The 13,503-nt window shown below is 49.4% G+C and overlaps 9 annotated features.

Moving 5' to 3' along the window:
- Nucleotides 2,566-2,860: a silencer, noted in NCBI's record as "tiled region #7766; HepG2 Repressive non-DNase unmatched - State 22:ReprW, and K562 Repressive non-DNase unmatched - State 21:Repr". NCBI's record gives its function as "represses a minimal TATA promoter and a strong SV40 promoter by Sharpr-MPRA in HepG2 and K562 cells {active_cell/tissue: HepG2 | K562}" and the evidence as "EXISTENCE:reporter gene assay evidence [ECO:0000049][PMID:27701403]".
- Nucleotides 2,566-3,233: a biological region, named in NCBI's record as "Sharpr-MPRA regulatory region 7766".
- Nucleotides 2,665-3,233: an enhancer, noted in NCBI's record as "OCT4-H3K4me1 hESC enhancer chr8:38353028-38353596 (GRCh37/hg19 assembly coordinates)". NCBI's record gives its function as "activates a minimal SCP1, AML or CMV promoter by ChIP-STARR-seq in primed H9 embryonic stem cells {active_cell/tissue: H9 hESC(primed)}" and the evidence as "EXISTENCE:reporter gene assay evidence [ECO:0000049][PMID:30033119]".
- Nucleotides 3,234-3,801: an enhancer, noted in NCBI's record as "H3K4me1 hESC enhancer chr8:38353597-38354164 (GRCh37/hg19 assembly coordinates)". NCBI's record gives its function as "activates a minimal SCP1, AML or CMV promoter by ChIP-STARR-seq in primed H9 embryonic stem cells {active_cell/tissue: H9 hESC(primed)}" and the evidence as "EXISTENCE:reporter gene assay evidence [ECO:0000049][PMID:30033119]".
- Nucleotides 3,802-4,370: an enhancer, noted in NCBI's record as "H3K4me1 hESC enhancer chr8:38354165-38354733 (GRCh37/hg19 assembly coordinates)". NCBI's record gives its function as "activates a minimal SCP1, AML or CMV promoter by ChIP-STARR-seq in primed H9 embryonic stem cells {active_cell/tissue: H9 hESC(primed)}" and the evidence as "EXISTENCE:reporter gene assay evidence [ECO:0000049][PMID:30033119]".
- Nucleotides 8,883-9,738: an enhancer, noted in NCBI's record as "OCT4-H3K4me1 hESC enhancer chr8:38359246-38360101 (GRCh37/hg19 assembly coordinates)". NCBI's record gives its function as "activates a minimal SCP1, AML or CMV promoter by ChIP-STARR-seq in primed H9 embryonic stem cells {active_cell/tissue: H9 hESC(primed)}" and the evidence as "EXISTENCE:reporter gene assay evidence [ECO:0000049][PMID:30033119]".
- Nucleotides 9,739-10,593: an enhancer, noted in NCBI's record as "OCT4-H3K4me1 hESC enhancer chr8:38360102-38360956 (GRCh37/hg19 assembly coordinates)". NCBI's record gives its function as "activates a minimal SCP1, AML or CMV promoter by ChIP-STARR-seq in primed H9 embryonic stem cells {active_cell/tissue: H9 hESC(primed)}" and the evidence as "EXISTENCE:reporter gene assay evidence [ECO:0000049][PMID:30033119]".
- Nucleotides 10,613-11,403: an enhancer, noted in NCBI's record as "OCT4-H3K4me1 hESC enhancer chr8:38360976-38361766 (GRCh37/hg19 assembly coordinates)". NCBI's record gives its function as "activates a minimal SCP1, AML or CMV promoter by ChIP-STARR-seq in primed H9 embryonic stem cells {active_cell/tissue: H9 hESC(primed)}" and the evidence as "EXISTENCE:reporter gene assay evidence [ECO:0000049][PMID:30033119]".
- Nucleotides 11,404-12,193: an enhancer, noted in NCBI's record as "OCT4-H3K4me1 hESC enhancer chr8:38361767-38362556 (GRCh37/hg19 assembly coordinates)". NCBI's record gives its function as "activates a minimal SCP1, AML or CMV promoter by ChIP-STARR-seq in primed H9 embryonic stem cells {active_cell/tissue: H9 hESC(primed)}" and the evidence as "EXISTENCE:reporter gene assay evidence [ECO:0000049][PMID:30033119]".

The raw sequence follows: 13,503 nt of genomic DNA on the forward strand, positions 1-13,503 counted from the left end.
GAAAATACATGAATAAAAGTTGCCAGGCCAGGTGCAGTAGCTTACGCCTGTAATCCCACCACTTTGGGAGGCAGAGGCGGGCAGATTGCTTGAGTTCAGCAGTTGGAGACCAGTCTGAGCAACATAGTGAAACCCTGTCTCTAATAAAAATACAACAATTAGCTGGCCGGCTGGGCGTGGTGGCTCATGCCTGTAATCCCAGCACATTGGGAGGCCGAAGCGGGAGGATCACCTGAGGCCAGGAGTTCGATTCCATCCTGGCCAACATGGTGAAACCCTGTCTCTAATAAAAATAAAAAAATTAGCCAGGCATGGTGGCACATGCCTGTAATCCCACCTATTCGGGAGGCTGAGGCAGGAGAACTGCTTGAACCCAGGAAGTGGAGGTTGCAGTGAGCCGAGATCACACCACTGCACTCCAGCCTGGGCAACAGGGTGAGACTCCATCTCAAAAAAAAAAAAAAAAAGCCGGGCATGATGGTGCATGCTTGTAGTCCCAGCTATTTGGGAGGCTGAGGCAGGAGGATTGCTTGAGCCCAGGAGGTGGAGGCTGCAGTGAGCCAATATCGTGCCATTGCACTCCAGCCTGGACAACAGAGTAAGACAGAGTTACCAGCATCAGCATGGATGATATTAGAAACTATGGTGAGAGCAACTAGCAAGTCACAGTAAGATACAAACAGTGTGATACCATTTTTACAAAGTTGAAAGCAAGTAAAGTGAAATGATATATTACTTAGGAATATATACATTTGTGATAAACTACAAGAAAGCATGAAAATAGGACTGAGGCCAGTGTTTCCCTCTGTGGAAGCAGGGAGGGGCTGCAGGAAGATTCAGCACCATTGGTGAGGTTCCATTTCTTAAGATGGGAGGCTGGTGGCTCCATGGGGAAGAAGTATTTCTTATTATACCTCAAGATAAACATTCATTTTAATTAAGCTTCGTATACATCAAATAATTTATTATTTTTTAAGTTTTAAAAGCTGTAAAGGCATATAATGAAAATCTCCAAAGGCAACTGATATTTTCAGATGTTGGTGTTCATTCAGAGATAATGTATAGTTACGAAGATAATTTAGACTTATATCATTCCAAGATAAGTTAAACTTGACAGCAAGAACATACATACCTATGCATGTACATATTTATGTGTAGATATCATGTGTGTGTGTGTGTGCGTGTGTGTGTGTGTGTGTGTGTTCTACCCCCCTTCCTTTTTCGACAAATAGTAGCATTTCTGCAGGCCCCTTTTAAACAACACTAACCTCAGATAACCAAAGATCAGGGTAAGTAGAAAGTCTGAGGAAGAAAAATGGGCCAGGTGTGGTGGCTCATGCCTGTAATCCCAGCACTTTGGGAAGCTGAAGTTGGGGAGGCTTGCTTGAGCTGAGGAGTTCAAGACCAGGAGTTCAAGACCAGCAGTTCAAGACTAGCCTGGGCAACAGAGCGAGACCCCATCTCTACAAAAAATTAAAAAACTAGCCAGGCGTAGTGGTGTGCACCTGTATTCTCAGCTCCTCAGAAGGCTGAGGTGGGAGGATCACTTGAGCCCAGGAGTTTGAGGCTGCAGTGAGCCGTGATCATACCACTGCACTCTAGTCTGGGAGACAGAGCGAGACTCTGCCACGAAAAATAAGTAAATAAATAAATTGACTTTTCTATTTCTTTCATAGCTTAGATGAAAAAAATCAAAGATAGAATTGTTGCTCATGGATAGAGAGAATTCTGGGAAGCAGGAATCCAGTTAGCTAGCTGAAGCTGGTGAGACATGGAATTTGGATTTGTTTAAAGCACTGGAAATGAGAGTCCAGCCATCTCCTCATCAGACCCAAGCAAAGGGCAGAGGCATGAGATTCTCCCTTCTTGATAATGAGACCCCCTGAGTTACAAATGTCTCCGATGAACCACACAGATGTGAAAAAGCAAAGAGAGGGGACACTTGCCACCAAATGAAAGCAGGAGGCGAATACATGAGGAGATGAAAAAGTATTAACATCAAATGTACGTCAAGCTCCAGACCGGAATCGGGGCAGACTGGGGAGCTGTCGGGTGCGGGAAGGGAAGTGGGGAGCCAGGATGGGCCTAGCAACTGGGAGGAGGGGACAAGGCCATGTGCCCGCAGGGGTGGAAGGTGGGTGCATGACATCCAGGGAAGTACGAGGTTCAGACCGGGCAAATCACAGAAGCTGCCAGTCGCTTAGTTGATCTGGGAAGACTTCCCAGAGGAGACGGGCTTTCAGGAGCAGCTTGGATGAGGGAGAGTAACAGGTTGGTGAACAGATTGAAGCCGGGAGTTCCAGGCATACTGCCGATCCACACTGGCAGAGCGCCCAAGGAACACTTGGTTATCATCTTTCTGTTGTGTCTTTCACTCTTTTGTATTTCCTTAAAGATCCTAGAATCTGGCATGGGTGTTTGGTTATATGATAAGCTGGCAGGGAGCGGGTGTGTACTAAAATGCAAATGATGGCTGTTGGGTTCTCGGTGAGGGAGGCGAGAGGAAGGTGTTTAGCGCCAGGAGAATCGGCCCTGCCAGACATGGAAGCCGTGTGGCATGAGCCACGGAGCCCTGTGAGAGAATTGGGGGCCCTGGGCTGTTGCCCCAGCTCAGATACTGACTTGTTCTGGGACAAGGGAGGTCACAACATCACATGCTCTAGCTTTTCTCAAGGACCACATGGGCGTGTTGGGCTCAATGACCTGTAAGACTTCCCAATCTAAGCAACTCAGTCATTGACAGCCAAAAGAAACAAAGTCTCCCAGTTCAATGGAACTGAATATCTCAACAGCCTCAAAGCTTCACAGTGTAAACACCCTTTAGAGTCATGCCTGCCAAGCACTTCACACAGGTCTTTCCCACACAGCGTTTCATCTGTATCTCATAATAACCCATGAGGCAGGTAGGGCAGGGATAGGATTAGCCCCATTCTACAAATGGGGACACAGAGAGACAGACTGATTGTTCAAGGTCCCAGTGCTGGACGCTGGCTAAGCTGAGCTAGACCCCTGAGGCCCTGCCCTCCCTGCCAACTCCCACTTGGATGTTAAGTGGTGTTCAGAGCACGCCCAATGCTGGCTCTGGGAGGAGGGCCTGAAGCACTGATGCCAGATCTACTCTCCCAGCCTCAACTTCAAGGCCATAGTGAGCAGCTTTCACCTGAGTGCCACCCAGCCACAGTTCCCTGCCCCACCCTGCACACCTCTGCTGCACAGGGGCTGGGTCAAAACATACCCTTTATTTCCATAAAGACCTGCCCTGGGGCCGGTGAGGTGGCTCACAGCTGTAATCCCAGCGCTTTGGGAGGCAGGAGAATTGCTTGAGGCCAGGAGTTCAAGACCAGCCTGGGCAATATAATAAGACACTGTGTCTACAAAAAAATTTAAAAATTACTGGGCGTGGTGGTACACGCCTGTGGTCCTGGTGCTGGGAAGGCTGAGGCAGGTGGATTGCTTGAGCCTGGGGGTCAAGGCTGCAATGAGCTACGACTGTGCCACTGCACTCCAGCCTGGGCGACACAGTGAGATCCTGGCTCTAAAAAGTGAAAAAAGAAAGACCTGCTGTGGGCTGGCACTCAGACCCCAGAGGTCTGATCCTCTGGGCTCCTGAAGCAGTGGGACAGCCTGCCTGGGCTCTAGTGTGAGGGGAGTGTCCTTGCTTTTGTCTCAGCCTGACTTCCTGTCTAGACATCTCGAATGGTCCCCTGAATTTAGCGTGCCGCATTTGCCTGCCAGCTCTGTCCAACCCACACAGGCCAGTGCCCAGCAGCTGCTGCCGCCCCCTCACCAGGCTGAGTCCTAAGAGGAGGGGCTGGCAAGGGAGGGTCGAGCCTAGAAAATTGTATAATGAAGGTACCCATCAAGATGACAACACTCTTAGAGGCAGCTCAACATCCTAGAATCCTGTCCTTTTCAGAACTCATGCAGGCGCTCGCTCTCTCCCCCACACCTGGAAGGATGGGTTGTCAAGGCAACTTCTTGAAGGCACCAGCATCCACAGTGCCATCGGTCCCCAAGGACCCACTGAAGCCGGCTGTGGAGGAAGGAGGCCGTCCCTCGGGTTGGCTCTGGAGAGACATGAAGAGTCTAGTCCTCTGGAATATCCAATCCCAAGCTAAGACCCTCCCTCCTGGACCCATCTTAGTGGGAGGCCAAATCTTCCGCAAGACGCGAAGCTGAAACATCGGACCCAGCCCTGGTGCAGTGAGACCAGAACCTTTTTTTATTTAATTAATTAATTTATTTAGGAGATGGGGGTCTCGCTTTGTCACCCAGGCTGGAGCGCAGTGGCACAATCATAGCTCACTGCAGCCTCGACCTCCCAGGCTCAAGGGAATCCCTCTGCCTCAGCCTCCAGAGCATCTGGGACCACAACCACGAGCCACCACACCTGGCTAATTTTTAAATTTGCTGTAGAGGCGGGTCGCAGTGGCTCTCACCTGCAGTTCCAGAACTTTGGGAGGCTGAGGTGGGCGGATCACTTGAGCCTGGGAGTTCAAGACCAGCCTGGGCAACATGGTGAAACCCCATCTCTACCAAAAAATACAAAAACTAGCCAGGCATGGTGGCATGTACCTGTAGTCCCAGCTACTGAAGAAGCTGAGGAAGCATGAGAATGGCTTGAGCCCAGGAGGGTGAGTTGGCAGTGAGCCAAGATCATGTCACTGCACTCCAGCCTGTGCAACAGAGTGAGACCATGTCTCAAAAATAAAAACCATGCCTGGCGCGGTGGCTCACGTCTGTAATCCCAGCACTTTGGGAGGCTGAGGTGGGCGGATCACAAGGTCAGGAGATCGAAACCATCTTGTCTAACATGGTGAAACCCCGTCTCTACTAAAAATACAAAAATATTAGCCGGGCGTGGTGGCGGGCGCCTGTAGTCCCAGCTACTCAGGAGGCTGAGGCAGGAGAATGGAGTGAACTCGGGAGGCGGAGCTTGCAGTGAGCCGAGATGGCGCCACTGCACTCCAGCCTGGGTGACAGAGCGAGACTCCGTCTCAAAATAAATAAATAAATAAATAAAAATAAAAATCAATAAATCAATAAATTTGTTGTAGACACAGGGTCTTGCTATGTTGCCCAGGCTGGTCTTGGACTCCTGGCCTCACACCTGTAGTCCCACCACTTTGGGACTGTAGAACGTGCCCGTCCTTCTGAGCCTGTTTTCTGAAAACCTTCCATGCTTCCCCAAAGCACAGCTTTACCCCTGAGCCCTAGCTCCTCAGTTTCCCTAGACTCATGGCGTAGGGAACAGAGGTTCTTCTCGCTCCTACTTGCCCAGGGAAAAGCAGTGGTTTCAGCTCTGTGGGCCCTATCATGGTTCTGAGTGACTTGAAATCAAGTTGAGAAGAACAGACAAAGCCCAGTTGGGGGATGTTCTGCAAAATACCTGACTCCTCAAAATTGCCAAGGTCATTAAAAACAAGAAAAGTCAGAGAGACTGTCACAGCCAAGAGGACCCTATGGGCACATAGAATATGCCCAGCAACCATGTGATGGGACAGGATGAGCACTGGATTGGGAGTCTATTATTAACATTAACAATCCCAGCATTTTTGAAGGCTGAGGTGGGAAGATCACTTGAGGCCAGGAGCTCAAGACCAGCCTGGGTGACATAGCAAGACCCCATCCCTACAAAAAAATTTTTTTAATTAGCTTGGCATGGTGCCACCCTCTTGTAGTCCTGACTACTCAGGAAGCTGAGGTGGGAGGATCCCTTGAGCCCAGGACTTTGAGGCTGTAGTGAACTATGATCACGCCGCTGTACTTCAGCCTGGGCAACAGAGGGAGACCCTGTCTCAAAACCAAAAAAACAAAACGAAACAAAAACCCTTGTAATGACTAACATTGACAGAATGCCCTTATTGTTTAAAAGCACAATTACTAGACTGGGCACTGTGGCTCATGCCTGTAATCCCAGAATTTTGGGAGGCCGAGGTGGGTGGATCATTTGAGGTCAGGAGTTTGAGACCAGCCTGACCAACATGGTGAAACCCCGTCTCTACTAAAAATACAAAAAAATTAGCTGGGCGTGGTGGCCCACACATGTAATCCCACCTACTTGGGAGGCTGAGGCAGGAGAATTGCTTGAACCTGGCAAGCAGAGGCTGCAGTGAGCCCAGATTGTGCCACTGCACTCCAGCCTGGGTGACAGAGTAAGACTCCGTCTAAAAAAAAAAAAAAAAAGCACAATTATTTTGAATAAAAATGTTCTTTTAGAACCATTTAGATTTACAGAAAAATTGCAAAAACACTACAGAGTTCCCATCTACTTGCACCATTTCCTCTATTATCAACATCTTACATGAATAGATACATTTGTTACAATTAGTGAACCAATGTAGATATACTGTTATTAACTAAAGCCCATATTTTATTCAGCTATCCTTAGTTTTTACTTAGTCCTTTTTTTCTGAATGCAGGATCCCATATTACATTTAGTTGTCATGTCCCCTCAGGCTCCTCTTGGCTGTGACAGTTTCTCTGGCTTTCCTTGTTTTTGATGAATTTGACAGTTTTGAGGCATATTGGTTGAGTATGTCTGATGTGTTTCTCATGATTTGACTGGAGTTATGGGTTTGGAGAGAAGAACTGCAGGCATCAAGGGCCATTTTCAGCCCATCATACCAAGACTACATACTGTCAACATAACTTGTCACTGTTGATGTGGACCTGGGTCTCCTGGCTGGGGTATAGTAATTGTTAGGATTCTCCACTGTAAAGTTATTTCAGAGCATAATTTTTTTTTTTTTTGAGTCAGAGTCTCACTCTGTCACCCAGGCTGGAGTGCAATGGAGTGACCTCGGCTCACTGCAACCTCCGCCTCCCAGGTTCAAGCAATTCTCCTGCCTCAGCCTCCCGAGTAGCTGGGATTACGGGTGCATGCCACCATGCCCGGCTAATTTTTGTATTCTTAGTAGAGATGGGGTTTCACCATATTGGCCAGGCTGGTCTCAAACTCCTGACCTCTTGATCAGCCTGCCTCAGACTCCCAAAATGCTGGGATTACAGGCATGAGCCACCGCGCCTGGCCTGATTTTGTTTTGTTTTAGCTTCAGGGGTATAAGTGGTTTAGGTTACATGGATAAATTGTATAGCGGTGAAGTCTGGGCTTTGAGTGCACCCATCAACCAAATAGTGTACGGTGTACCTGACTGATAGGTGATTTTCTTTCTTTCTTTCTTTTTTTTTTTTCTTTTTGAGATGGAGTCTTGCTCTGTTGCCCAGGCTGGAGTGCAGTGGCGCGATCTTGGCTCACTGCAAGCTCCGCCTCCCGGGTTCATGCCATTCTCCTGCCTCAGCCTCCCAGGTGGCTGGGACCACAGGTGCCCGCCACCACGCCCGGCTAATTTTTTGTATTTTTAGTAGAGACGGGGTTTCACCGTGTTAGTCAGGATGGTCTCGATCTCCCGACCTTGTGATCCGCCCACCTCGGGCTCCCAAAGTGCTGGGATTACAAGCATTAGCCACCGCATCCGGCCGATAGGTGATTTTTCAATCCCTCGACCCCTCTCTGCTTCTGGGTCTCCAATATGCATGATACCACTGCGTATGCCTTCGCATATCCCTAGCTTAGATCCCACTTATAAGTGAGAGCATGAGGTATTTTGGTTATCCGTTCCTGAGTTACTCCACTTAGGATAATGGCCTTCAGTTCCATCCAAGTTGTTGCATAAGACATGATTTTGTTCTTTTTTTAATGGCTGAATAGTATTCCATTGTGTATATATACCACATTTTCTTTATCTACTCATCTGTTGATGAGCACTTAGGTTGATTCCATTTCTTTGCAAAGCACATTTTCTTTTTTGTTTTTTTGAGACAGGGTCTTTCTCTGTCACCAAGTGGTGCAAACATGGCTCAATGCAGCCTCAACCTCCCAGGCTCAAGCAGTCCTCCCACCTCAGCCCCCCAAGTACCTGGGACTACAGGTGCACACCACCATGCCTGGCTAATTTTTGTATTTTTTTTTAAATAGAGACGGGGTCTTCCTATGTTGCCCAGGTTGGCCTTGAACTTCTGAGCTCAAGTGATCCACCTGCCTCAGCTTCCCAAAGTGCTGGCATTAGAAAGCACACTTTTAAATGTGTGATTTGCTTTCATCTCATTGAAGTATCTTTGGAACTTTGTGCTTCCACTTATAATCTCTAGCTCCTGGCTGTAAAAGCAAAACAAAGACCAACAGCTCTGAGGTTCTGGTTCCTAGGTTCTACATTGCACTCTGTTACTCACTCTGACCTACAGAGTAAAGGCAGCAGCCACAGGGCTACCCAGGGTAGGATTCCAACCTTCCCTGGAAATGAGAGACTCACAGAACTGGGAGTGGGCTGGATGTGGGCTCCTACTTTTCTGTAATGTCTGTGCCAGGCATTATAAGGGATGACCAGGTCTAAGCCATAATCAATAAAATGTAGTGTGGGAGACCAGCTGTAAGCCAATGAATGGTGAGGGATACATTCAGGCTGTCCTTTCCAGCCCATCATGAACACCACCTCCTCCACGCAGCCTTTCCTCATGGTCCTATCTGGGTGTTTTCTCTTCCTCCTCTGAACACTTCTTTTTTTATTTTATTTTATTTTTTATTTTATTATTATTATAATTTAAGTTTTAGGGTACATGTGCACAATGTGCAGGTTTGTTACGTATGTATACATGTGCCATGTTGGTGTGCTGCACCCGTTAACTCGTCATTTAGCATTAGGTATCCTCCTCTGAACACTTCTAATACTCTGTGTTGACATATGGCATGTACCTCACTGAGGCTGCTAGTAGTTTCAATGACTTGCCCTGGTAGACAGAGATTCTGCCATTTATATCAGGGAGTTATCATAAAAAGTCATTAACTATGGGCTGACTAGGTCTAAATCTGAGATCATGAGAAATTACACTCTTAGAGGCAATAGATATGCTGGGCTCTGAGAAGGGGAGATCTTGGGTGGCTTCCTGGAAGAGGTGAACGTGGAAGCATGGCTGAAGGATAGGTGGAGGTCTTTCTTCTTCCTCAGATGAGGCAATAGTGAGTTCAACACCAGGTCCAACCTCAGTGCAACCCAGGGACTAGACCCTTAATACCCAATTCTTCAAGGTTGGCTCTTCTCTCCACAACTTCCATAATCCTACCTTAAGTCTCAGTTCATGGCAATCTCTCCACCTGGAATGCTCTTGCCTTCTCCTCTTTCCCTCATCAATCCAGCCCACAGTGACGTTGTCCTCCTCTGACCACCCAGACTAGCACTTAGGGTTTGCAAGCCCTTGTGTGGCAGGTCATAAACTACCCTGGGTTAGGCGTTCTCGCGTGGGAATGGGTCTGGGTCTCCTGGGCTCCCCGGCTCAGCCCTGGCCCCTGCAGGTGCTCAGTCAGCAGTGGCTAATGGGATTCCCTCTCCACAGTCTGTCTTCATGGGCTGAAGCCTCCTGTGACCTGTGTTTATCGTACCTCCAGAGCCTACGGGAGCCTTCCTGTCAGGCTGCTCGTCCTGAATGCCCAGCGGCGTCTCCATGGTGGGAAGATGCTGCGGAAGAGAACACGACTCCCACCTTCACATCGACAAGGAACTTTATCATTGCTCCAAAAACGCCCACACAGTCTGTATCCTAGCGACTCTGGAGAGCTCCTCCCAGCCTCTCATGAATGAGGAGCAGCTCGCTCTGCAGCGGTCTCTGAGACAACACTGGTGTGTGAGTGTGTGTGTGTATGAGAGTGACTATATGAGTGTGTGCGAGAGTGTGTATGTGACTGTATGTGTATGTGTGTGAGAGTGTGTGTGATTGTGTGAGGGTGTGTGTGAGTGTATGTGATTGTGTGTGTGTATGTATGTGTGTGTGAGGGTGTAATAGTGTGAGTGTAGTCGTGTGTTTGTGAATGCATGTGAGAGTGTATATGTGCGTGTGAGAGTGTGTGATAGTGTGTGTATATGTGGGTGTACTTGTGAGTGTGAGTGATAGTGTGAGTGTGTGAGTGTGTATCCGTGTATGTGTGTGTCAGTGTGTGAGTGTGATAGTATGCATGAGTGTATATGAGTGTGAGTGTATGTAAGAGTGTGTGTGATTGTATGTGTGAATGGTAGTGTGAATGTGTGTGAGTGTATGTGACAATGTATACGTGTGACTGAGTGCGAATGTGTGATTGTGTATGTGTGTGTTTATGTGAGAGTGTGTATATGTGTGAGGGTGAGGGTGTGTGATAGTGTGTGTATGTGTGTGATAGTGTGTGACTTTGTGACCGTGTGTGAGGGTGTGAGTGTGTGTGTGTGTGTGAGAATGATAGTGTGAGTATGAGTGTATGTGAGTGTATATGTGAGTGTGAGTGAGGTTGTGTGTTACATGCATGGTATGTGTGGGTGTGAGTGTGTATGTGGGTATAGGCCTGTGTGTTCTGTGTGTGTGAGAGTGTGTGAAGGGGTGTGTGTGTGTGGTATGTATGTGACTGTGGGTGCGAGTGTGCACGTATGTGTCTAAACCTGTGTGTGCTGTGTGTGGGGGTATATGGGTGTGTGTGAGTGTACATGAGGGAGGGTATGTGTGTGCATTGTAGGTATGTGAGTGAGGGTGTATGTGACTGGACGAGTGTGCTGTGTGTGAGTGGGGGTTTAGATTGGGCATATGTGAACCTGTGTGGGAGGTGTGAGTTTGTGCAGGAGTACAGAGACACGGGTTGCATGTGGATGTGTGGGGGTGTGTGTGTGCAAGTAGGTGTGTGGGAGGGAGGAAACGTGCCCCAGCCTGATCCTGTGAGAACACTCAGGACTGTATCTACTCCCGTGGGTGGAAGACAGCGTGGTCCTGGGACCGTCCCTGATGCGAGCGCTCACTCCCTTTTCCCTCCCAGCCCACACCTCTCCCTCCTACCGCCAGAGAATCTCCACACTCCAGGGCACCTTTACAAGAGGTCAAGTCGTCCAGCACCCACTGGAGATGGTCCCCACCGTGCAGACCAGTCTCCTTCTTCCCACTCCGGCCCTGCCCGCTTCCAGCAAGGGCAGGAAACCTCAAAGATGCTGGAAAGTGGTTTCCCGCTCCACTCAGGCCACGTGCCAAACCTCTGGAGTCCCCTGGACCCCATAGCCAAGGGAGATGAATTTGCCATTAGACACCAAAGGATAAGAAACTGCTGACACAGGCCCAAGGCTGTCTCGTCCCTGCTGGGGTGATGGATGATGAGTTTTCAAGCGAACTCTAATAGGAAGTCCATGCATAATACATCATTAGGGGAGCAAATTCCAATTTGCATCCCATTAGGCCTCTGAAGGCTGGGAGGCCCAGCCATGCAGCCCAAGCCTTCCCTCAGGACTCAGAGCAGGGAGGCGCCCGTGCCATCAGAGGCTGACCTGCCGGGCGCAGCGCCCGACTGTAGGATGTGTGTGCGGTCAAGGGTGGGGCTGTGTTCTCCCAGCACTGTCCCCTGGTACAGTTTCAAGAGCACCTGGCTTGACTCTAAGCTGCTCTGGTCCTGTCCACTGCCTCCACAGCTCTTGTTTTTTGTTGTTGTTGGCTTTTTTTTTGAGTCAGGGTCTCACTCTGTGGCCCAGGCTGGAGTGCTGTGGTGCGATCATGGCTCACTGCAACCTCAAACTCCCGGGCTCCATCAATCCTCCCACCTCAGCCTCCAGAGTAGCTGGGACTGCAGGCATGCATCATAATACCCAGCTAATTTTTTTTTTATTTTTAGTAGAAACGAGGTCTCACTATGTTGCGCAGGTTGGTCTTGAACTCCTGAACTCATGCAATACACCCACCTCCATCTCTCAAAGTGCTGGGTCTACTGGAGTGAGCCACCGCACCAGTCCCAGCGCCACAGCTCTTCACAAGCAGGATGGAAGGAAATCTCCAGCTTCCTGGGGCTGCTGCCATTTATAGTCACTGCCGTGCTGAAAGTCAAGTATAGGGAGCAGAATAATGTGTGCCTCAGTTTCCAAAGACCTAAATGGGGGGGGCCAAAGAGAAGGGCCCCCCTGGCAAGGACTGGGAGCCATAGGGCAGTGGAGAGTGCCAAGCCAGGGACCTGCAACCTGAGCTCATTCCCTGCTCTGCCACTCACTGCACTAACCTCCTTTCTATCCTCTGCACTCAACCTCTCTGAGCCTCAGTTTTCTTATCTGTGAAAGAGGGATGGTCACCTGCCCTGCAGAGCTTTTCTGAGTATGGGAAAGTGCACTTGAGACTTTATGGTGTTGCGATGCTTTGGAGGGTGCTCTGCAGACCCTGAGATGGGATTGGGTGGGAGGTGGAGGTTGGGTGTGAGACTGATGTTTGGGGTGGGCAGGGTAAGGGGAAGATGGAGTAGAGTTTCTGGTCCTGGAGCCCAGCATTCTGTCTTCTGCTTCCTGCCTTAGGAGAGGCTTCAGTCTTCCTCTGAAGGCTGCAGGGCGGGTTAGGCGCATGGCAGTGGGGCGCTGAGAAGTCAGGGCTTAGTCTGAGAGTGTAGTGTGGTTTTCCTTTCAGGGGCAGAGCCTGTCTGGGGAGGAGGCGCCTGAGCAGGGGGTCAGTACAGCTAAACTGGAGCTTGTGATATTTTAAAAGCATTCTGGAAAAACTGGGAGAGGAGCCAGGCTTGGGTGGTTGGCGGGGCATGAAATCTGGTCAAAGATTGCCCAGTAGAGGAAGGGCCCAGCTCTGAGGCTGTATAGCAGAGTGGGCAATTCTCTCTGACAGTGATCAGGGATGGCTGGTATTTCTCCCCAGATCCCCTAAAAATGCTTTAGAGGCTTGGGCCATAGGCCACACCCATTGGCCTTTAAAGAAGTCTCCCTCTTTTTTAAAAAATTATTATTTTATTTTTAATTTTTTAGAGACAGGGTCTTGCTCTGTCTCCTAAACTGGAGTGCAGTAGCACAATCATAGCTTACTGCAGTCTCGAACTCCTTGGCTCAAACCATCTTCCCACCTCGGCCTCCAGAGTAGCTGGGAAGAGGTGCAGAGTACCTGTAGAGGTGCGAGCCACCATGCCCAGCTAATATTCTAATTTTCATAGAGATGGGGTCTTGCTATGTTGCCCAGGCTGGTCTCAAACTCCTGGCCTTAAGCAAGCAATCCTCCCACCTTAGACTTTGTAGTATCCTCCTGGTTCTCAACTGGGACAGGGATGTGTTTGTGGGGGCAGGGGTCTCTGCGACAGAGCCTGTCTGTGAGCCCCACCCAGATCCTGTCTGACCTCTGCCCTGCCAGCTGCTGGCCCTACCTCACGTGTTCTGCAGCCCACCAAGGACGGATTGATCGGCACTCCCTAGACCCAAACTCTTAAATTATTTCCCATGGTTCATGGAGAGGTGCAGGGCTGTGGTCAGGTGAGTCAGGGGCCAGGACAGAATCATCCTGGCGAGATGTACCTTCCCCTGGTGATGTGGCAGGGCAGGGTGCGGAGGGAGCAGGGAGGGCCTCCCAGGTCTCAGATGCATGCAGATGGCACACTTTACATGGAAGTTTTGCAATTGTCTAACAGCTTAGGGTTGCGAAATACTTTCCAGTTTTTCCTCTCAATTATTGGGGTGACACAGGGGAAAGCCT

Source organism: Homo sapiens, chromosome 8, assembly GCF_000001405.40.
Source record: "Homo sapiens chromosome 8, GRCh38.p14 Primary Assembly".
NCBI classification, from domain to species: Eukaryota; Metazoa; Chordata; class Mammalia; order Primates; family Hominidae; genus Homo; species Homo sapiens.